This window comes from Homo sapiens, chromosome 4 (genome assembly GCF_000001405.40).
Source record: "Homo sapiens chromosome 4, GRCh38.p14 Primary Assembly".
In the NCBI taxonomy this organism is placed as follows: Eukaryota; Metazoa; Chordata; class Mammalia; order Primates; family Hominidae; genus Homo; species Homo sapiens.
The window spans coordinates 84994416-85019715 of record NC_000004.12 but is presented as its reverse complement, the minus strand read 5'-3'; the positions used below and the strand labels follow the sequence as shown (position 1 = coordinate 85019715).

Below are 25300 nucleotides of genomic sequence, written 5' to 3'. Positions count from 1 at the left end.
GACAAGGTGACATTTGAAAATAATTAAGATGATAAGGGATCCAGCTATGTGGGTATCTGAGATAAGTGTGCTCGAGGCAGAAGTGAAAGCATGCCTGAACTGTTTTAGAAACACCAAGGAGGTTGCTGTGGCCAGATAGAGGGACAGGGGAGAAGACTACTGCAAAATGAGGCAGCTGAGATTATAGGAACCAGACCATGTGGGCCATTGAAGTCCAATATTAAATTTTGTTGGGCAATTTGGAGGTTGACATTATAATTATTTTTGTTTTTTTGAGGCCAGATCTCACCATCACCGAGGCTGAAGTACAGTGGTGAGATCTCAGTTCACTGCAACCTTCACCTCCCAGGTTCAAGTGATCCTCCCACCTCAGCCTCCCGAGTAGATGGGACCACAGGCACATGCCACCATTCATGGTTAATTTTTGTATCTTTGGTAGAGATGGGATGTCACCTTGTTGCCCAGGCTGATCTCGAACTCCTGAGCTTAAGCAATTCCACTCGCCTCCGCCCCACAAAATGCTGCAATTACGGGCATAAGCCACCATGCCTCTCCATCACAAATATTTAAAACTGCAACTCACTGGCTACCCCCATACACATTCCAGATGCCTCTTACTCTGCATAATTGTATTCCACTGCACTTACCATATCATTGTCTTACATACTTTTTTAACTTATACATCGTTTGCTATTTATTGTCTTTCTCTCCCGATTACAACTTAAGTTCCACAGAGGTAGAATTTTTGTCCTTTTTTTTTTCTATTCTGTTTATTAGTGTGTCCTAAGTGTCTGGCACACGGTAGGCCTTCAATAAGTAAATATTTGTCGAATAAATAACTTTTGTTTTATAATAAGTTTACTTTGAGGCAAAGTTGAAAAGGAAGAGAAGAATCAGACCATTTAAACATAGGAGAAACTTCCCAGTGGCCAAGCTAAGAAAAAAAAAAAAATCAGCAGCTAGAAACTTTAAGGACAAAGCAGAAATATCACATGCTGCATACCACAGGGGAGACAAAGTGTGTAGTATTGAATCCAGGTAAAGTAACTTGTCTACTAGAATAAAAACCCAACAATCTTCTGAAAAAAACAGAATACAGTCACTACAACAAATTACCTGCAATGTCCAGTTTTCAACCAAAAGTTAATGAACATGCAAAGAAACAGGAAAATATGTCCATACATGGGAAGGGGTGGGGGCAGCGGCAGAAAGCGATCAATACAATCAAGCCACATATTTAATCTGAAATTTTACTCTTTAAACCACTCTAAAGTTTTGACTAACTCAAAACAAAAGGTTTTGTGAAGCAATTATGAGCTAGTCAAAACTTAACAAAAGTGGTTCAAAGAGTAAAATTTCTCTTAAACACGTATTTTTTATTACTATGAAGCTATATTTATGAAACTGTGTGGGTGCTATCCTTTCAATAATAACAATTTATGTACCTACTACCACTATCCTGCCATCACTAAAAACATTTTGATTATCTATCTTTTAAAATTTCCTATAATCCCAGCATTTTGGGAGACCAAGGTGGGAGGATCCCTGAGCCCAGAAGTTTGAAACCAGCTTGGGTAATGAAGTCAGGCTCCATCCCCCAAAACAATTTTTTTTTTAATTAGACGAATGTGGTGGCATGCATCTGTAATCCCACCTACTTAAGGCTGAGGCTAGGAGGTTGAAGCTGCAGCAAGCCATGATCAAGCGAATAATTAAGATGATAAGGGATCCAGCTATGTGGGTACCTGAGATAAGTATGTTCCAGGCAGAAGTGAAAGCATGCCTGGACTGTTCTAGAAACACCAAGGAGGTCGGTGCACTCCAGCCTGGGCAACAAAACAAGGCCCGATCTCAAAAAAAATAAATAAAATAAAATCTCCTATAACAAATTCTTGCTAAAATCTTCATTAAAAAGCATCCAAAGATTATGCAGATACAAATCTGAGAAATAAAATGAATAATACGGTTGAATAATACTTTGGAATTTTTGATTATTCGGAAACAAGTGAATAATATGTAACAATTGTGTATATGATAAAAGTGGCCATATATTTCAACTCTGAAGAAACAATGTATTCTTTCATAAATTCAGTTAAAGCATCTCAATAGTTACTCTTTAAAAAAAAAAAAAAATGAGTTCTCTACACCAAACCAGAAACACACAGACACACTCCAAATAGCCAGATGGGACAGAATTTAACGTAAAAATTGAAACCCTAAAAAGATCAAAGAAAAACATACTGAATTTGTACATAATCTTGTGAGTAGGTTGGCCTTTCTTACCATGATATTAAAACATGATATCAAAAGCACAATGCGTAAAGCAAAATTGACAGATTTAACGCTTAAATTTTTTACTATATAAAATATAAGAACTTTTTGCCCAGAAAATAGTACTAAAAGTCAAAAAAGGGAATTATTTGCAACAAATATGGCCAAGAAGGAGTTAGTATTCTTTTTTTTTTTTTCCCTAGGGACTGGGTCTCTCTATGTTGCCCAGACTGGACTAAAACTCCTGGGCTCAAGGAACCCTCCCACCTCAGTCTCCTGAGTAGCTGGGACCACAGGCATACACCACTGCACCCAGCTTAATAGTTGATATTCTTAAAAAAGAAAAAAACTATCCTAAGTCAATAAAAATATAAATACCCCCAAAACTATTCTAAATCAATACAAATGTAAATATTGCAACAAATAATCAGACAAAGGGCATGAAGATGCAAGACACAAAAGAAGTAGTATAGCTAATCAAGAATTATATGAGAAAAACATCAATCTCACTAATAATTAGAGAAATTTATATTAAAACAATTGACGGAAGTCTTTACTAATCTACTTGGCAAAGTTTTTTTTTTAATAATACACAGTAATCCAAAGAATATGGGGACTTAGAGGCCCATATACATTGCTATTAAATAAAAATTAATACAACCTTTCTAGAGAAGTTCTGATGGAATTGTATTTTCATTTATAAAATTACTCCAATTGCAGTATGATTAGAGAATAACAGAATATGCCACTTGGAGACTTTTGGTTATTGAGATGAAAAACAATTACTTGGCCTACCTAGGGTGGTGGCAGTGGAAATGAGAGACAAAGATGGATCGGGGAGTTATTTAGATGGTGGGAATGATAGAATTAATGATTGATCAAGAAGCAGGGGGTAATAAAGAGGAAGGCGTCAAGAAGAACTTCCAGGCTTCTGGCTTAAGTCTCTGGATAAGTAGGGATACCGTTTAGTGAAATATAAGACTGTAGAAGAGAAGAGGGTTTATTGGGGGAAACTATGACTTCCCTTTTAAGAAGATGGAATTTTAAGTGCTCTAGGGAAAGAAATTAACATCTGTTAATTTGTTATTTTGGTTTAGGTTTAGTTTGGTTTGGTTTCTGACTACCTAACATCAATTTCTTACTTCTTATAACATCTGGGGTTTTCTCTACATCAGTAGACAAAATCCATTACAATCGTCATCAAAAACCTGCCTCACTAATTACAGAGGAGGCAGGTGATCCTAGGGAGGGCAATCAGATACCATTCAAGCATGTGAATCTTTAATGGAGAGACTAAAATGTAGCAGAGTTCTTGCTACAGAATAATTGCATCATTTATCCTCTTAATTCTTGCCTAGTTCCAAGTTCTGTGAATTCTAACATCCTGCCAATAACTTGCCTCTTGATTAAGTGAGCCATAGTTTCTGTTGCTTGCAATCAAAGAATGTAAATAATACAATATCTATAGTAAGATAAGAGCATCTGTCATTCAGGAAGATATTTGGTCAAACAATGGATTTAGTGAAAAGATGGTAATTGAGGGCATGACTGGCAGGGAATCGGGGGTGGGTCAGGATCCTTATATGGAGAATATATAGAATGAACATAAAGCACACCTATATATGAGAACTCAGGTATATGAATGGTGTCAAGCAGGTGAAGAGGAGCCAGCAGAATAAAACTAGAAGAAACAGTCAGAATAATAATAGGAAAATCAACAGAGTGTGGTAGCATGAAAGCCCAAGAAGCCTATAGCAATAATAATAAATGTAAGTAAACACTTTTAAAGGATGTTTATTGTAACATTATCTGTGTTAGCAAAACATTAGAAACAACCTATGTGTCCAGCTTAAATAATTTAGAAGATAGCCTAATTGTGGGATTCCATGCCTGTCATTGAAAATGATGTAAATGTATACTTAAGTGCATTCTTACTCTGTAAACACTATATAAATGTTACTCTTACTTTGGAAAATTGAATATTCTCCATTAGGCTCAAGCATACAAGAAAATTTCACTTGCTTTTCCCTTGGGAAATAGACTTCTGGTAAAATAAATGCAAGTAATGATTTTACTAAAAATTAAGATATATTTACTTCTACAGTTTAATAGAATCGATAAAAAAAAGACTTTACAAAGTACTTATTGTGTGTTTACCATAGTGCCAGAGTCTGACAGATACCAAGCAATACAAGATAAAGTCTATGCTTGCAATGAAATTGTACAAATACTTACAAGTAGTTAAAGAACTGAAGTTATATATTGAGAAACGATGACGAATTTGCCAGTTGGATATGAGATGTCAAGGTGTTTCAGCAGAGAAAATTACTTCTTCAAAGATCCAAGAAGAGAAAGAACACGACAGGTTCAGGAAAATCTAATTAATTTTTGCATAAGGGTTATGTAGAAGAGGAGCTATACGTGGGAATGTGTTAGTTTGGGTCCCTAGAAAAGCAGACGCAAGATAGGAATAGACATGCAGGAGATGTATTTGGGGATGGGGGAACTGCAATGGTGGATAAAGGAAAGAGAGCCAGAGAAAGTGGGAAGAGTTTTCAGACCATGATGCAGATCTGACACCTGTGAAGGAGAGGGGGAAGTAAGTAGAGTCTCAGACAGCAGCTCTAAGAAAGACTCAGCCATTCCCACAGGGAGTCCACAAGTCAAAGTCACCTGTTAAGGGGGTCTTGCATCTCATAACGATGGGCCCACATTCGTATCTCCACCATGCTCAGTCATTAGCTGGCAGCAGCCTGTGGGAACTGTGGGCTAGTGTGAACACAGGACCAGGTCCAGAAGTGCAGCATCTAGAGTTCTTAGTGGATTTTTCTCCATGCAGCAGGAGATTTGACAGGTGCATTTTTATGGCCACCGAAGTCCATGCCTTGCGACATACAGATATACTTCTCTACTTAGCATTGAACCTTTCTTTCTGACAGGAAGCTTTGAAGAGAGAGGCTGGTGGGAAGAATTGTCACTGCAGTTAGTCTCAGTGCCACAACTGCTCCTCATCCTCTCCTTTCTCTATTATCCATTTTAAATTTCTCTCTCCCTCAGCTGTCAACTGAGTAGGTCATGGTGATTTATCCAAACCCTCATTCCTGAGAGGTGTAATTCATTGGCAATCATTCTTTTCAGGCTTGTCCAAAAAGAATATCCATTCACAGTTACAATGGAGCAACACAATACCTGAAGTTGCCCAAGAAGATCACTAATGACTGAGCATGCAGGATCCCTTCCTTACACCTTACACAAAAATTAATGCAAGATGGATTAAAGACTTAAATGTTAGACCTAAAACCATAAAAACCCTAGAAGAAAACGTAGGCAATACCATTCAGGACATAGGCATGGGCAAGGACTTCATGTCTAAAACACCAAAAGCAATGGCAACAAAAGCCAAAATTGACAAATGGGATCTAATTAAACTAAAGAGCTTATGCACAGCAAAAGAAACTACCATCAGAGTGAACAGGCAACCTACAGAATGGGAGAAAATGTTTGCAATCTATCCATCTGACAAAGGGCTAATATCCAGCATCTACAAAGAACTCAAGCAAATTTACAAGAAAAAAACGAACAACCCCATCAACAAGTGGGCAAAGGATATGAACAGACACTTCTCAAAAGAAGACATTTATGCAGCCAAAAGACACACGCAAAAATGCTCATCGTCACTGGCCATCAGAGAAATGCAAATCAAAACCATGATGAGATACCATCTCACACCAGTTAGAATGGCAATCATTAAAAAGTCAGGAAACAACAGGTGCTGGAGAGGATGTGGAGAAATAGGAACACTTTGACACTGTTGGTGGGACTGTAAACTAGTTCAACCATTGTGGAAGACAGTGTGGCGATTCCTCAAGGATCTAGAACTAGAAATACCATTTGACCCAGCCATCCCATTACTGGGTATATACCCAAAGGATTATAAATCATGCTGCTATAAAGACACACGCACATGTATGTTTATTGCGGCACTATTCACAATAGCAAAGACTTGGAACCAACCCAAATGTCCAACAATGATAGACTGGATTAAGAAAATGTGGCACATATACACCATGGAATACTATGCAGCCATGAAGAAAGATGAGTTCATGGCCTTTGTAGGGACATGGATGAAGCTGGAAACCATCATTCTCAGCAAACTATCACAAGGACAAACAACCAAACACCACATGTTCTCACTCATAAGTGGGAATTGAACAATGAGAACACTTGGACACAAGAAGGGGAACATCACACACCGGGGCCTGTCATGGGGTGGGAGGAGGAGGGAGGGATAGCATTAGGAGATATACCTACTGCTAAATGACGAGTTAATGGGTGCAGCACACCCACATGGCACACGTATACATATGTAACAAACCTGCACGTTATGCACATGTACCCTAAAACTTAAAGTATAATTTTAAAAAAAAGTTAAAGAAAAAAGAAAATCTTAGGCAAGCCAGATGCTATGGCTCATGCCTGTAACCCCAACATTTTGGGAGGCCAAGGTAGGAGTATTGCTTGAGGCCAGGAGTTCAAGACCAGCCTGGGCAAAATAGCGATATCCCATCTCTACAAAAAATAAAAATAAAAAATTATCTGGGTGTGGTTGTGCGTTCCTGTATTTTCAGCTACACGGGAGGCTGAAGCAAGAGAATCACTTGAGCCCAGGAGCTGGAGGTTATAGCGAGCCAAGATTATGTCACTATGCTCCAGCCTAGGTGACAGAGCAAGTCTCTCTAATTTTGGAAAAAAAAAAAAGAAAGAAAGAAAAGAAAAAGAAAATCTTAGCCAGGCTGAGTTCAGCGGAGTCCTCCAGCCAGAATCACCTGTTTAAGGCATACTGTCTTATAAAAATAAGCCTGCATTAGAATCTCTGTTGTACTCAGACTGGCTGAGAAAACCCTGTGGGAATCATGGCGTCTACAAGAACACAAGAGTGGATCCAGAGGACATTATCTGGGGCCATCAGTCAATTACACTCTCTGCAGTAGGAAACCTGAGTGCTGCATTTTCATGACCACAAATGGGGGCAGCTAAAAATGAGGCCACAATGTACGCAAGGGTCCGATAATAAAGTGCTTTGTATGCAATGCTACCAAACTTGAATTTATTCTGTAGGCCCTATAGTGTAAGAAAGGGTTTGGAAAGAAGATAACAGAGTCAAGAGATATAGCTATGAGGTAGAATTAACTGGACATGATGGTAAATTAGATTTCACAAGAGAGAGCTTTGAGTCCCAGTTTTCTGTCTTGGGAAATACATTGTACATGTTGCATGAAGTCAATATTTTGGGGGCAAGATGAACTGAAATTCATCTCTCACTATCAGGAGAAAAGTTATATTATCCTTCCAATCAACTGGGCTTAAAACACTGGTTTTGTTTCTGACTCAAGTCCAGTATTATTAAATACCTACATAAATAATACACCATCTGGGCCTTCCAAGGGCTTATTCCCTTAGCACAAAGATAATAGTGAACATTACTGTTCCCTAAAGCTTAGTACTGGAGTCATTTTAATAGGAAAAATCTAAATTCTTCATGTTGAGAATAGATTGATTTTCAGAAAAAAGATAAGATAGATAAAGTACGCTGGGTGCAGTGGCTCATGCCTGTAATCCTAGCACTTTGGAAGGCCAAGGCAGGTGGCTTGCCTGAGCTCAGGAGTTCGAGACCAGCCTGGGCAACACGGTGAAACCCCGTCTCTACTAAAATACAAAAAATTAGCCGGGTGTGGTGGCATGTGCCTGTAGTCCCAGCTACTTGGGAGGCTGAGGCAGGAGAATTGCTTGAACCCGGGAGGCAGAGGTTGCAGTGAGCCAAGATCACACCACTGCACTCCAGCCTGGGTGACAGAGAGAGACTCTGTCTCCAAAATAAATAAATAAATAAATAAAATATTAAATAAAATGTTTTAAATAAAACTTTTTTTTAAAAAAAAAAGATAAAGTATTTCTGTGTTTAGGCACACTCAGGAAGAATGCTTCAGCCATTGTTGGTGGACAGCCTGAAGCAAAGTGAAAGCACCCACCAACTCAACTGCAGCTCAGGAGGACAAGGCTTCCTCCTACCCCTCTTCAGACCAGGAGGCTCTCAGGCAGAAGTAAAGCCCTTGCCACCTGGAGTCTGCAACAGGAGAACTGATAAGAGACATGAAAGCCTCTGGGGCCAGCACTCGGGATTCTCTGTCACTTGGAGGGAGCTGGAGACTCCCCAGGTCAGGACACAAGAAAGGAGAATACTGGACAAGGGGACCGAGGCCAGAAGACTGTGAGAGGAGAGCAAATCGTGAATGAAGGTAAGAACGGGTCTTAAAGGAAGGCTTTGATTTATGTAGAACATAGAAGCATGTGCAATTAATTAAAGTAGAGACACTAGTCTTCCAATTTTATACTGCTTTAGGATATTTATCTGAATGTTCTGTTATTTAAAACAACAACAACAACAACAACAAACTGCCTTACCCTAGATCACAGCACTATGGTGACGGCAAAGGTGGCATTCAAGAAAAGAACAGCATGGCTTCCTGTTTTTCCGTTAGGGGATTATCACCTTGCCCTTTGGCATTAGTGGGTTTATAAAGTTTTCTGTCTACGGAGGGTATTGTGGAATAATCTTCATATTTCTATCATGGGACAAAGGAGAATGACTGTCAGTTTTGGGAATGAAAGTATGGTTTTTGTAGATACTCAGTTAACTACTAATAACTAATCAGACTAAAGTTAGTGTTTTCCAAAGTTCATTTGAATTATAGCTTAGATTTAATTAAAGAAATTAATGCACTCAACTTTTTATTCAACTGTCGCACACCTTGTCTTAAAATAATAATAATTTGTGATTTTTTTCCCCAGAGATTAAAGTAAAAGAACGTGGCTTTACATTATGACAAGAATAATATTCTCAACATTTACATTAAATTTACAAACTAATGAACTGTAAGAAATTTTGATGATACATTATTTCTGAACATTAGTCACATTATTAAAAGTATTAGTTATTTACATTGAGCAATTTTTCTATAGCTACATTTTTTTGCTCCTTGAGAGCAGAAAAGATGTATTCTCTTCCATTCCCCAGCCAGTGCCATGCAAATAGTAGATATTTAATAATGCTGGAATAAATTAGAGATAATGCTGTATTTTAAATATGAATGGTAGAAACAAAGAAAATCAAATTGACAAACAGAAATAGTATGGAAAAATGATTTTAGAGAAGTTGGGTCACCCATAACTGAAAGTCTGAAGACAAAACATTATTCTCTAACCAAATATATTTTTATAAACTCAATAATCGTTCCATTAAGCAACATTTTGTTCATTGGTTTCAGTGATTCTCTAAGCTTACTCTTACAGGACAGGATAGTCATGAGAGCTCAACAAAGATATTATGCTGCTAAAGCGGGATAATGGTAGTCTTTTCACAATTTACATAAGAATGTTACTCAATTGCATAATTTTCTAACTTCAACCTTTCCTGCCATAAATGTATCTCAAATATTTTGCAACTGCAAATCTACTAAAATTACATAAAGTTTATGCCTCTTACTACAGTATCTGAAAACAGTGAGATAGATCATACCAGATTCAGGATGCCTTTGATCCACACCAGTTATTTGAAAAGGAAAAATTTAATATAAAGGAGTATTACATTAATCATAATAAAAAGGAACTCTAATCAATACAGAGATAACAAATGCAAAAAGCAGCTACTTCTGGGACTGAGGAAGAATGAACAATGATGGAACCAAGAATGTAGAAGAAACCAACTGTCCCACCTTCAACCAATGTAGATTCATGCCTTGTTGGGGAGAGTGTGCTTGCTATAGGAACACCAGACTGCCAACAGCATAGAAACTTATCAGAAGGTATATGCTGGAGGGGTTCACAGGAAGTGGCTCACCTGGTGACCAAACTTCTTGGAGGGTTTGGTGGGCCCTATGCTGGTTGTCAAGTGTCACTGAGGTGAGAGCTATGAGAGCTCTGACATGCACATCCGCCAGCAGCCTTGCTGAAGGAAACAGCAAACCTGGCCATCAGGAGCAGCCCCTTTCTCTTGCAGTGGACTTGAAGTGGCCCTCCAGCACCCTTTCTTGACAGAGTCTAATGTTGTACCAGCTGGCAATAAATAAATGTTTACAGGGTCCCTCTTCAGTTCACAAAGCAGAGCAGAGAATGGTAGGTGGAGACTGATGGGCAATAAATTGATAAATGGCACAGTTTGGGAAAGCCTCTTTTAAAATAGAAGGTACAAAACTCACTAAGGAACCTCGAGGGAGCACTTTGAAGGGAAAGGCAGTTTTTTCTCTGGAGTAACTGAGTTTGACATACATTCAAAGAGCCCTGTCTGGAAACTGGGAGAGGAAAGTCATGTGTATTAAAAAAGTGATGGCCAGAAATAGAGATACACAGTGGTGTAAAACAGGAGCTCCAATTTAAAGTCACAAGGGTGGCAGCTCTGAATGAGGATATTGACTTATAAATTTGGGGCTTCTCACTTGCACAACTCCAAATAGAGTATTCCAAGGCAAGGAGTACATAATACTTAGTTCCTTAATGATGACTAACGATTATCATAGGCAATACTAGGTAACACAACCAGTGAATGCAAAACCCCAGGAAAAGATGATGGTGGCTTATTGGTAGCGTATTGGGTGTCAGGGACTGGCTAAGCCTTGTGACAATGAATGGCCAGGAAAACAGTAGAGAAAGTATGTGCTGCTTTATTTTTCATATTTAGTACAGTCAGATCTTCAGTTGACATATTTTAGGTGATATTTTAGAATTAATTATATTAATATTCCATAGCATTCAACAAAATATACTCTAACATCATGTGTTCTACCATATGAACAGATTTATGCCTGTCTGTTCCTAAAATGATAGTATAGAGGTGGGAGGTAGGCCTACCCCTCCCTACCCCCAGGTGAGACTTTGATAAGAATGAGAAAATCAGCTTAAATCTTGACACAAACTTCAGCTATGTGAAAGACATGATTAAACTCATTTCAGTAGAAGTTGCAAGCTACATAAAACTACAGTATTTACAATGCCCTTAACTTGACGCAGTTAAAATTTGAGGCACTTTTGCTGACATCTTATTGTCTATTTGCTGACATCTTACTCTCTACTCTGAGTCACCTTTTATACCTAGCAAATAACTACAATACTCAGTTTTTAATATTTAACTAAGGATTGGAAAAGTCTATGAAGGCTTAGATTTGCATTAATGGGCTTTATTAATTCAAGGAAGCAAAAAACTAATTCAAGTTTACATAGTATAAGTTTACATAACAAATATGTACTTTTGGATCAATAAACCACAGAAGATAATATTGAGCTAATTAATTTGGGTTATTATATCAAGTGTTACATAAAATGTAACTACTATCAAATTGCCAATTAGTCATCTAAATAAATTATTTCAAATTTAGCCTTTATCAAGAATATGGGAAAACTTAGTAGAATTTCAACTCAGCCTAACTTAACTGAAAAGTGAGTTATGTTGATGAATTCATAGGTTACTGATATTTTTATATATTCTAAATTTGTAGTGCTCATTAAAATTTATTGTGGAGCCTGAATGTCTAATACATGTTTTACATTGCATCAGAGGCAGAACTGTTACTGAAATTGCAAAGCGTTATAGCTATTTTTAAAGTAACTTTTCTCTAACAATTTATTTTAATTATTTTGATTTTTTTCTCTCTTGTTTCTTTTGTTCATGCCAAAAACATAACATGCCACTTCAGTTGGGTGGTCCAAATCATTATCTTTGTTTCAGGGTTCATGTACATTATGCATAACAATGTTTGTGTTTTGTGCATAAGGTATTCAAGTTTGTGGCATTCTCATTACAAGTCTCATTCTTTGAGATTTTTACCTTGGTCTATTGGTCAGATCCAGGCACAAATGGTACCTTGACACCTGATTCAATATGTATCACACTTCCTTACCAATCTCCTTTCTCCTTATACCTTAGCCTCACATTAAGGATTATAAAAGAAAGTTAAATTAAAATTTATGAATATTCAATATATCAATGTTTTCAATAAAGCCGTAAAATATGAAACCTATAATATTTCGACTGCTCTATTCTCATAAGTTCTACCTGCTCTTCTCATGGGAATGACCCCCAGAAACAGGCACAGAATCATGTGCCAATGAATATTTAAGTTACCAAATGTTGATTTTTAGAATTTTCCGTCAAATTAAATGTTATTTATTTTAACAAAAGTAAAAATAAAACATGTTCATTGTAGAAAGTTCAGAAAATAAAGATAAGTAGAATGAAGAAAATAAAAATTAACTGTAATCCTACCACTCAGAGACATTGTTGTCAGTCATATAAACTTTTTTCTATAAATTTATCTTTTTTTAAAAGTGGTATCATACTGCATATACACTTTTTATAAATATTGGTTTTAATTTTCAGGTAAAAGTACATAATTTTCTTAGGATCATTGGGTTCCAAGAAACAAAATATTCAAAGAATTTTAGAATAAAAGTGGGATTTACATACAGGTACATGAAGACATGTATTGAGCTCGGACTGTGCATTATCTTGCAACCCCAATGCCCAGTATAATAAACGATTAAGAGAAAATGTGATTGGGATTATTCCTGATTCAAACAGCTATGATTACTGCAGCAGTATCACCTGATATGAAAATGGTTACCAAGCTCACCACTTAAGTAGGAACAGTAATTTAAATGTAAAATAATTATGAATGGGATGAGTGCCCCAAACTTTTCTACTATAGTGTTAGACCTCTTTTGTTGTAATTATATATTCATTACATCAGTTTTATTTTTTTTTTTCTTTTTTAGAGACCAAGTCTCACTATGTTGTCTAGGCTAGACTTGAACTCTTGATTTCAAGTGATCCTCCTGCCTTGGCCTCCCGTGTAGCTGGGCCTGCAGGCATATCCCATTGCGCCTGGCACATTACATTTATTTTTAAGAGTTGCAGAGTATTTCTTCATAATATGGGTAATAATCTGTTTAAATAATTCACTATTTTGGGCATTCATGTTGATTTCAACTTTTGCAATTATACACAAAGCTGTGATGCTTGCAGGTATATCTTTGGGAATGTCTATAACTTTTAGAATTAAATTCTTTAGAAGAAAAATTTCTGGTCAAGGGTATGGCAGAGACTACTAGGTATCCACCAAATTCTGTTTTCTCCTTCCTACACATATGGCTGCCCTACCGATCAACATTTCCCAGCCTTCCATGCAGATAGGTGGTGTGCCCATGTGACTACATTTTTACCAATAGGATATTAGTGGAAGAGATGCATGCCATTTCTAGGCCAGATCCTTACAACACTGGTCATAACTCCTCTGTGTTATTTTTCCTCTTCTTGCCAGCTGGAACTTGGTTGTGGTGGTGACTCAGTTTTGACCTCGCACATGACTATGTAATGCCTCCCAGCTATCCTGGACACAGAGAGATAGAGCAGACAGAAAGAAGTAAACTTCTGTATTATTTAAGTCACTGAATTGTAGAGTCTATTTGTTACATCAGAGAGAAGAATATTTTTAAAGATTTCTTATGTAATTTTTAAAATTGTTGTCCAGAAAGCTTATACCCATTTATATTCCCTTTAGCATTGCACAAAACTTCCATTTTTATTTTTTAATTTATGTTTCTTGCTCATATTGCCCAGGCTGGTCTTGAACTCCTGGGCTCAAGTGATTCTCCCACCTTGGACCCCCAACGTGCTGGGATTGCAGGCATGAGCCACCATGCTTGGCCCCATTTTTATGCATTCTAGTCAACAATGGGGAAATCATATTTTAATCTGTATATTTTTTATTTGAAAACGAATTACTGTGAAATTTGATTATCTGTTCAGTTTTTTTTTTTTTTTTTACCTTTTCTGGTTCCTCATTTATGAAGTTGTAGTTCCTATTCCTTGACCATTTTTCTGCCATAGATTTTTAATAGCTTTCAAAAGGAAGTGTGAGAACTAGATAAAACAAGATGAGCAAAGCATAGATTTCTCTTAAAATTGGATGCTGTCACATGAGGATTTATTATGCTATTCTTACTATTGTTGTGTGTGTTTAAAATTTTCTACAATTAGTTAAAAAGTCTAATTGTATTTCCTAATTCTATTTACTGAAAAAGTCTAAAAGCAATCATTAAACCTAGTACCAGATTGTGATCTCTAAATATCACTCGCCAATAAAACAAACTAGGGCTCCTTAGAAAAAGGGCCAGATTGAGGTTTGGGTCAGGAAATAGATAAGATGAGTCTTGGATATCTTGTTGTAAAAAAGACAAAAGTTTGATAGTGATCAAACTGTAATGGGAGGTTGGGCATGGTGGCTCAGACCTGCAATTCCAGCACTTTGAGAGGTCAAGTTAGAGACTAACCTGGTCAACATAGAAAGACCTTATCTGTAAAAAATGAAAAAGGTAATGGGATTATGTCAAAAGGACATAAGAGCTAATTTGGCCAAAGATGGAATAATTTAAGCATAAAAACAATAATGACTTCAATTGATTGAAAATTATTTTGTAAAAATGCATGAGTCATATGATATTCCAAAAGAAAGAAAGGGAGCCAAAACACAAAAATTAGTAAGAACTCACCAGGAACCATTGAGGGTAATTATAATTAGGGCACTGAACTTTTATTTTTAAAATGGCAATTAAAGAGAAAAAATATAAGCCATTGTCCCATTGATCCTGTGTAATATATTTTCTTTTTTTTTTTTTTTTTTGAAAGGGAGTCTCACTCTGTCACCCCAGACTGGAGTACAGTAATGGATCTCGGCTCACTGCAACCTCCCCCTCCCAAGTTCAAGCGATTCTCATGCCTCAGCCTCCCAAGTAGCTGGGATTACAGGCACATGCCACCATGCCTGGCTAATTTTTTGTATTTTTTAGTAGAGATGGGATTCCACCATGTTGGCCAGGCTGGTGTTGAACTCCTGACCTCAAGTGATCTACCACCCACCTCAGCCTCCCAAAGTACTGGGATTGCAAGCATGAGCCACCGTGCCCAACCATGTATAATATATTTCAAATAATCTTAGTTTGTTCCTGCTGCTATAGCAAAGTACATGAGATTGAGTAATTTATAAAGAACAGAAATTTATTTTCTCACAGTTCTGGAGGCTGTAAAATCCAAGATCAAGGTGCCAGGAGATTTGGTTTCCAGTGAGAGTTGCCCTCTGCTTCCAAAATGTTGCCTCTTGCTGTGTCCTAAAATGGTAGAAGGTTAAAAGGACAAAAAAGAAATGTAAAGCTTCCTTACACCTCTTTTATAAGGTCATAATCCCATTCATGAGAGCACTGCCCTCATTACTTAATCACCTCCTGAAGGCCCCACCTCTTATTACTATTGCAGTATATCAGAAAAGGAATACTTATCTCTTTTGTTACTCAAGAAAAATACATACCCATCTATAAACTCAACTCCTTTAATGTCTTTGATACAAGATAACCAATCAGCTTCACTGTAGTATTAATACAAAAGATTTTCATGATCATGCCACATGGATTGCAATGTTTAGAGCTTGTATTGTAGGTTTAAGTTTTTTAATTTTATGAAATTAACCATGTCAATGACACCCATCAGCATTTTGTACATGTGTGACTTCAGTTTTGCTTTATGTGTTCACATATGATGGAGTGAGTCAATTTGCATTGTACTAGCTCTGAAATCCATCTGTGACCTAGGAGTACTTTTTAAGATTCCAGGCAATGCAACTTGGTTATATACAAAACATTGTTTTCATTAAAGAAGTTGTTTATTATTGAGAGGTATCTTTTCTGGCTCGTATTCTTTAGTGGCTTACACAAAAAGTAGTACTTGATGGACTTCATTATTGAAATAAAATCCAGCAAATACCACACACTTAGACTTTGGAAAAATATTGATACTTTTATGAATAGCATGCCCTCCTTTAATTTGAAATTTGTTCTAAGTTACATTTTGCAACTTCTAACACTTTTTGCTGTAAAAGGAGTGCCTGTTGTTTTGCAGTTATATTGAGTATATTACTTTAGCCTACTGTGACAGGGCAAATAACCACTTTTTGCCTCTTGCAATTAAATAAGAAATGTTAAAGGAAGCACTCAACGTTTTCATTAATTTTTAGTAAAATTTTGTAAAGTACTGGATTGAGTATGACTTCAAACATTGCTGAATCAATTATAGAGTTCATCTTCATGTTTTAGATATTTAGTGTTAAAATAGCTTGATTATCCTTAGCCAATATCTCAAAGGATGCATATACAGCTCACATGATATTTATGAATAATGATAGTGGATGTAAATATATATATATATATTTTTTTTTTTTTTTTTTGAGACGGAGTCTCGCTCTGTCACCCAGGCTGGAGTGCAGTGGCTCAATCTCCACTCACTGCAAGCTCCGCCGCCTGGGTTCACACTATTCTCCTACCTTAGCCTCCTGAGTAGCTGGGATTACAGGTGCGTGCCACCACACCTGACTAATATTTGTATTTTTAGTAGAGACGGGGTTTCACCACGTTGGTCAGGCTGGTCTCGAACTCCTGACCTCGTCATTTGCCCTTCTCGGCCTCCCAAAGTGCTGGGATTACAGGCGTGAGCCACCGTGCCCGGCCAATATATTTTTAAATAGTCTTCTTGATAGCTAAAAATTTGTTTTTGTCCAACTGTTGTTCAGATCATTATTTCATCCTGTAATATTGCTGATGAAAATCTTACCTTTTGGCCAGGTATTATGGTGCATGCCTGTAGTCCCAGCTACCCAAGAGGCTGGGATCAGAAGATTGCATAAGCCCAGGAGTTCAAATCCAGCCTGGACAACATGCCACGACCCCACTTGGGAGGCTGAGTCAGGAGAATCGCTTGAACCCGGGAGGCAGAGGTTGTGGTGAGCCAAGATTGCACCATTGCACTCCAGCCTGGGGAACAAGAGTGAAACTCCATCTCAAAAAAAAAAATAAAATAAAAATAACATTTTGAGTGATAGACGTGTGGGTCTGCTATTTTTTCATTTGTTTGCTTAAACATTGTTAGTCTTAGTTTCTTTTTGGGGTTTTGTTTGTTTGCTTGCTTTTTGAGCTGGAGTCTCACTCTGTTGCCCAGGTTAGAGTGCAATGGCATGGTCTTGGCTCAATGCAACCTCCACCTCCCACGTTCAAGCAATTCTCCTGCCTCAGCCTCCCAAGTAGCTGGGACTACAGGCCTGTGCCACCATATCCTGTTAATTTTTGTATTTTTTAGTAGAGATGGGGTTTCACCATGTTGGCCAGGCTGATCTTAAACTCCTGACCCAGTGATCCGCCTGCCTTGGCCTCCCAAAGTGCTGGGATTACAGGTGTGAGCCACCATGCCCAGCCTCTTTTTTTTTTTTTTTTTTTTTTTTTTTTGGTGACACAGAGTCTTACTCTGTTGCCTAGGCTGAAGTTCAGTGGAGCAATCTCAGCTTACTGTAACCTCCACCTCCCAGATTCAAGTGATTCTCATGCCTCAGCCCCACAAGTAGCTGGGATTACAGACATACACCACCACACCCAGCTACTTTTTGTATTTTTAGTAGAGACAGGGTTTCGCCATGTTGCCCAGGCTGGTCTCAAAATCCTGGCCTCCTGTGATCTGCCCACTTCTGCCACCCAAAGTGCTGGGATTACAGGTGTGATCCACTGCACCCAGCCTAGTGTTAGTTTCAATCAGCATTTTCTGTACAGGAATCTATGTATGTCATTTGTATATTTTGTGAGGAGTAGTTTAGTCAGAAATGGATCATATGAGGCCAGGCACAGTTGTTCAAGCATGTAATCTCAGCACTTTGGGACGCTGAGGCGGATGGATCACTTGAGGTCAGGCGTTCAAGACCAGCGTGGCCAACATGGCGAAACCCCATCTCTACTAAAAATACAAAAAAATTAGCTGGGCATGGTGGTGGATGCCTGTAATCCCAGCTACTCAGGAGGCTGAGGCCAGAGAATCTCTTGAACCTGGGAGGTGGAGGTTGCAGTGAGCTGAGATCATGCCATTGCACTCCAGCGTGGGCAACAGAGCAAGACTCCATCTCCAAAAAAAAGAAAAGAAAAGAAAGAAAGAAAGAAAGAAAGAAAGAAAGAAAGAAAGAAAGAAAGAAAGAAAGAAAGAAAGAAAGAATTGGATCACATGTATAAGAATATAAAGCATCACACTGACAACTCATCAGACCATGAATAAGCAGGAATATCTTTGCATATTTGGTTTAAAAGATAATTTAGAAATTTTACAATCTAAAATAAGCTTTTCTGTTATGGTTTTTGTACTAGATAGATGAATGGGACACAGGAAATATAAGGAAATATAAATTCAATATTCAATATATGTGGAAGTGGTCATTTTCATTAACAATCAAATATAATTATTAAAGCAAAAATGAAGTAGCCATTAAAAATAGTCCTACAATCTATAAATCCTTGTATCTAGGCTCATTTGAACTGCTTATGACACAACACTGAGAGTGAGTAAACAAGAGAGGGTAACTCTGTGAGGCTGCTTGCATTTTGGAGCTCTTAGACATCTCTTCCAGACCTCTCCTGTACCAAATAGGATGGGGAGCATGACCATAGACACTGTTTGATCTTTGAGAGTCAGTCTGTACATTAAATATTAGTAAATTTAACTTGCATCTTATTTTTTTAATGTAAAAATAGAGGTTATCATTGTTTCTTACATCCAGTGACTTTTCTGTGCACTCCTGGATTCTACATTAGACTCTACATGGAGAGTACTGGGGAGTCCCATAAACCTTTCGAATAAAAAGAAAAAAAAACACTTAGGAAAGTTACTTAACCTCTCTGAGCTTCATTTTATTCATCTTTAAGATGGTAATTATAACAATAATAAAGCCATGCTGACAGATTTACTATGAACATCAAATTGAACATTATGTAAAAGCACATTGTAAAACATTATATAACTGTTAGTTAATGGTATCTAATAAACATTTCAGTGAGAGTTATAAACCTGTAGGGTATTGAGATGTAAGATAAGTAAAAGAATTATGTGAGATGATCCGCTTAATGTTACTCGTATAGAAGTTTTATTGTTTCTAAAACTTAAAAAAAATTGACATTAAGATGTCCTGACATTATAATATCATGGAATGCCAAAACATGGCAAATAATAAGTCTTTTCAAAGAAGGTTACTCTGATATGTTCATATGAAATATGTATAGGAGCAGATGAAGCAATAAATAAGGATACTATCTATGTTAAGGCTTCAAAATACCTCCCACTTTGGAAATGCTGCAGGATGGATGTGGTGCCTTTAATTATCCTTGGTCCCATCACTCTAGTTTAAGACATTAATTTAATGAAGTCACAACCAAATTAACTTGTTTGGGTAATGTGGAAAATAATTGTAAACATTCATTTGATCATCTTATTTGTCCATGTACGTTGGATAATGCACACACATTTGGTCCACAATGACCAAATTTAACAGGTAATTCCGAAGTTTAAGTTTTATTTTTACTGCTCTTCTTGCAGTATCTCTCTTAGAGAATTCTTCCACACTCTAAAAATCAGTTATCACTTCCATATAGATTACTACCAAATATTTATTTTTGATCCAATTTTATTCTTAGAATTTTAGTCCTCCATTTTTTTTTTTTTTGAGGGAGTCTCACCCTGTCGCTGGAGCTGGAGTGCAGTGGCATGATCTCAGCTCACCGCAACCTCCACCTCCCTGGTTCAAGTGATTCTCCTTCCTCAGCCTCCTGAGTAGCTAGGACTCAGGTGCATGCCACCATGTCCACTAATTTTTTTTTTTTTTTTTTTTTTGGTAGAGATGGGGTTTCACTATGTTGGCCAGGCTGGTCTCAAACTCCTGACCTCAAGTGATCCGTCCACCTCAACCTCCCAAAGTGTTGGGATTACCAGCGTGAGCCACTGTGCCCAGCCAGTCCCTTATCTTAAACTGTGTGTGGATATTTATGCTCATACATTTCCAAATTTCCTTCAAATTACAGTTTTTATAATCTATTTCCAAACCCTCCCTACTCACCTAGCACCAGGTTTCTCTGATATATGTAATAGAACTAACGATGTTGTTGTCATTCTGACTCTGAATCAGAAAGTCATCTTTCACATGGCTCTCCCTTGCTCTCCAAACTCCAAAATAACAAAAAGTCCAATGATTTTTCCTTAAAAATATTTCTTCCATCACCTTTATTTTACTATTACGGCACTACCACTCTAGTTCAGGCCTTACCTACCTTTTTATGTAAACCTCATCCCTCACCTTCCAACCTCCAATCCCTCCCTAATGCAGTCCTTCTTGCATTCTGCAGAAAGACAAATCTTTCTAAAACATTATTCCTCCCATGTCATTCTCCTGTTACAAAATGTTCAAACTTTCTACTATCTATAGAATAAATACCCAATTCCTAAATCTGGCATTCAATCTGGCATTCAAATTTGACTACATTTAACCTTTCCTAACACATGTATTACAACTTTCAACCAAGCTGGAGAATTGTCTTCATTCTAAATATGCTTTGCTCTTTCCTGCCTGTTCTGTTACATCATAGGCCCATGAAAATGCCTTATTTCCTCTTTGTTCCCAGCTCTTCCATTCATAACCACTCACTTATTCACTAATCAAACATATAGTAAGCATTACCAATGTTCCAGGCTCTATATAAATAGAGGTGAACAACCCATGATCCTGACTTGATAATCTGGTGAGCTAAAAAAACACAAAACAACAAACATAATAATCCTATTTATAATGGAGGCTTAAACAAAAGGAACAATGCCCACATAAAATCAGCTACTTGGTCCAATTTAATTTTATTTTTAAATTTAGCAAGTAATGCCTCACATTTTCAAGTGGGGAAGCCCACTTTGCCCACTATGAAGCCATGGTAAGGATGAGGTATATAATTGAGAAAGCATAAGTAAAGTCGATCTGCCACAGCTAAGAGAAACCAAATGAACTTAAGTGAATGCAGATCCCAGATCTTCGTGATTTAAACATTATTAGAGCCCACCTCCTATCTGTTCATGGAATAGCAACTGGTTTACAGGGTAATTTGGCTGCACCCTGACTGCTGCTGTTTATGCTCCATTGACCCCTTATTCCCTGATGGAGCCTTACATTAACCAATCTTTCACATATTTGCAACCACTCTTAGGAGTTAGGGTTAGGTTAAAAGGATACATTATTGATCCGATGAGCATTTTTCCTGCTCTTTTGACCAAGATAGTAATTTCAAAAACAATAATTAAAAAAATGGTTGCAGGTAAAATAATGGATGTCATAAACCTAAGCAGTGTTTGTAATTTAGTTGATGGTGGTGATGTATCACTTGTTTCATTTGCATCCCTGTGGACACGATCTAATAAGATAAAGTGTTTGTTTTCTCAGTTTGTCACACCAAGAGTTTATCTGCTCTCTACTTATTCTGTGGGAAGTCATGATTCTCATTACTTTTTAAGTAGAGTCAGAAACCCTTTTGTATTATGCAGAACTAACCAACCAATCAATATTTAGAGAGTAAGTGAAATATGTTTGGAATAATGACAAAGGAGAAAATTGGAGACTGAGAAAAGGTAAAAGAGGTGAAGTGGATGCAGAATAGGAGCAGATGTTTTTGCAATGCCCTCTTAGAAGGAATAAAGGAAGCTGAGGCAAAATGGATTAGATCTTGAAAAGGCAAGCATTGTTTGGATTCAGGAGCTGGACAGTGAGATCTGTATAAGTGAGAGAGTAATGCAGTAGGATCAGAGACTTTACGAGGTATCAGAAGTAGAAGGAAGAATACAACACAATCTGCAGGAGGTGGAAGAGGTGGGAGGTGAGGAGAGTGGCTCAAATTCTGTAAATAGGTAGGGAGTTTTCTGTCAGTAGGCCCAGGTAGAGAAATAAGGTTGCTATGTGTTCCCATCTGAACCAGCTAAGTAATTCTGTCTCTGGAGCTGTTGTGGGGAGCTCCCACTAACCATCCAGTGTACACAAAGAACTATAAATATTTAGTCTTGGTGCCCCAAGGAATCCACAGCTCAATTAAACAAATTATTCATGTGTATGTGAGGGGAGAAAAATGCTTTCAGTGTAGCACAGTATTTCTCACCAGGTTCAATTTCATTTGTGAAAGCTTCAATATGTATGAATTTACTCCTGCATAATTTTGGCAACAATTTTATCTCCATTTTAGATTGACTGAGTATATCTCGAAGAGGATAAAAAAAACGAATCCAGGAACTGGGTACAGAAAATCAAGGTAAAATAGATGGCAGAGGAGCTGACTGTTTTTGCAGCCAAGTCTTGGGATAAAGTCAAGAGAGTGTAAATGGGGGCTTTAAAAGCAGTCTGGTAGTAACCGTGTGAAGGAAGTGTACACCGAACTTACAACCAATAGACCTCACTATTCACACAGAACAAGCATGCTCCTCAGGTAGGTCAAGATACTCCAAATTGTTTTACCAGCTGAATACGTAAAAAGATACATAATGTATCTTACATTTCCTGAAGAGTATAAGTTTAACTCACAATGTCTCTAAACCATAACATTTCACTTTTCTATCACAGAAAGTTTGGTCACTGTTGACTGAACATGTATATATTCAGCGTTCCTGCCTTCAGAGTTTCACCTGTTGGCTTACCTGCCTGAAATATTCTCACTACATACAAGTTCAATCCATCTTTTATGATTAAACACATACTACCCCTCTTTGTACAGTCTTTCCTACCACTCTGGAATCAAGTGATGGGACTTTCTATGAACATCTAGTGCATATTTATATAATTCATTTGGAAAAACAGTGTACTACCTTTAAGTATTTCTTATGTAAACCATGAATTATTTACATTTTTATGTTGTTCAACTTTTGTGTTTGTCTCTCCAACTGGATATTAAGCTCCTTGAAGTGAATATAATTATTTTTATGTACTACACCTTCCCATATAGTGGCTTGCTCATTGCTTCCTTGTTGAGTACAGAAAAATTACACAAGAATGTAAGTAATATATATTGCATTCCTAGAATATAACCTAGTGATGGTCTATTATTTATTTAAATAAACTGTTAAAACAGATAAGTTCATATTTTATTTATTTTTTTTGCATGTTGCCCATATTCATGGTTTTGGTTTCAGGTTATGGTAGACTGGTAGAAAACGGAACTTTGCAATGTTTTGTTTGTATTTTCTAGAACAGTTTAAATAGTACTGTCGATTGTTATTAGCCAACTACAGGAAACTCTTTTCTTCCTTCAATTTTGCATCATAGTGGAAGCAGAGAAACAAAAGTATCAAGTTCTCAGTTTTGGAGTTCAAAGATCCCAGTCTACGTTTAAGACAAGAAATACTTTAACAGGGGATATAAATAAGCATGAGTCTCCTACCACCATATTCCTGACTCCAAACTTCTAAAGAGTCTTCTATCAGGAGAGGCCCTCTCCTTGTCCCTCTTTCCCTGTTCTCTCTGTATCCTCTATAGAGATGGAGAGGAAGCAGGCACAGCAAACACTGGGAGCATCTCTGAGAGTCAAGTACCTCCCCATTTCCATGTGAACCCCCACTTAGACCCTTTAGCTCCTAAAGGAGAGGGAGGATGATGATGATCCCCCTGGAAATATTGGGGATCTCAGACTATACGAGATCTGTGCTGTTTCAGGTCTGGTTGGTCCTGGAAGACGCTGAGTCCAAAAGAGTTCCTCAACCCTACACAATATGGAAACACTGAGTAAAGAAAGCCTCTGCCCAATGTCTAGGAGGGCTGGAGTGACTCAGACTCACCCAGGGCCACTTTCCATCTTAAGCAGGCATGATGGAGTAGCCAAATGTTTTTATTCCTAGTGGTCTGAGTGCTGTGAAGACTGCAGAGGTCTCATGGTTGAGAGAGGGAATTAGGCAGAGGACAGTGAATCATATGATTGGAAGCCAGATAAGGCAACCTAGGATTCAGCGGGTGACATTGTCGGGGAATGGCTATACTTGGGATTATACAAATGCCAAGCAGCCCAGGAGGGAGATAGCAGGATACAGCTCACGCCACCATACTGTGAGTACACTTAATTAAGCTCTTGAAGGTAAATGTTATCCCAAAAAGAAGGCAAGAAAGGGAAGAAACAATGAAGGGAATTACATATACCTGAAAATAATGATTTTTCTGCTATAATGGGGGCCCTGAAATAATGTGGTTATTGAAATCCATTTCAATGTGGTTAGGATGAACCATAGAAAATGAACAGGACATTTTCACAATGCCTGATAATGCATAATAACAGAGCTAGTAATGTGGTTTGGAAATTTTGTAAATGGCATAATTATATGGAAATTATATGTTCCTTGAAGGTTTTACAAAATCTTTATAAAATTATTTTTTATAAAGCTGTTTGGGTCTTTTTTTGGTCACGGGGCCATTTTCATTTTTAATAAGTTTTTCCATTTTCTACCATGACTATTGATATACTTAGGTTTCCAATATTTTTAATCAAATTTGAACTTCTACATTTTCTTAGAAATTAGAAATATCCATTTTATCAAGATTTACAAATTTAATACCATCAGGTTATCACTGGTACTATCCTGTAACATCTGTCATTTCATCTGTCGCAGTGATAGAACTCTTAATTTCTAAGAAAAATTGTCTTGGGCCACACATAAAACACACTAACACTAATGATAATGGATGAACTAAAAAAAATGCAAAAAATATTTTCATAACGTTTTAAGAAAGTTTGTGAATTTGTGTTGGGTCACTTGCAAAGCTGTCCTGTGGTCCAAGACAATTCTTCCAGTGTGGCCCAGGGAAGCCAAAAGATTGGACACTTCTGCTGTAGAGCCTGAAAACCTAAAAACTACATTTCCCAGATCCCTTTGAGGCAGGGTTCTGGCCACAAATTCGAATGCAGCTGTTACGCCTGTCCTAGTCACAGAAATACTGAGTTTTTCTGCAAAAGCAAAGCCAAGTTGTGGGTGGCAAGGAGGAAGATGCAATGCTAGCAGTGGTTTCTTTTGATCCATCTCTGCTTCTTGGATAAAAATCTCTGATATTACGTTCTTGAACTCAGT

At 37.5% G+C, this 25300-nt stretch overlaps 1 long non-coding RNA gene across 12 annotated transcripts in view; it reads right to left on the bottom strand.

Moving 5' to 3' along the window:
• Window positions 1-10972: 10972 nt before the first annotated feature.
• Window positions 10973-25300, bottom strand: part of WDFY3-AS2 (WDFY3 antisense RNA 2) — a 43128-nt gene continuing 28800 nt past the window's right edge. For 4 of the 12 annotated variants that reach the window (NR_152771.1, NR_015359.2, NR_152779.1 and 1 more), the window contains 2 exons: window positions 15389-15486; window positions 10973-13709 (listed from right to left, as the gene is read on the bottom strand). This is a non-coding gene — a long non-coding RNA (WDFY3 antisense RNA 2). Of the gene's footprint in view, window positions 13710-14147; window positions 14243-15388; window positions 15487-18950; window positions 19026-25300 lie in introns of all 12 variants that reach the window. The other 8 variants (NR_152772.1, NR_152778.1, NR_152774.1 and 5 more) reach the window with 5 other exon arrangements.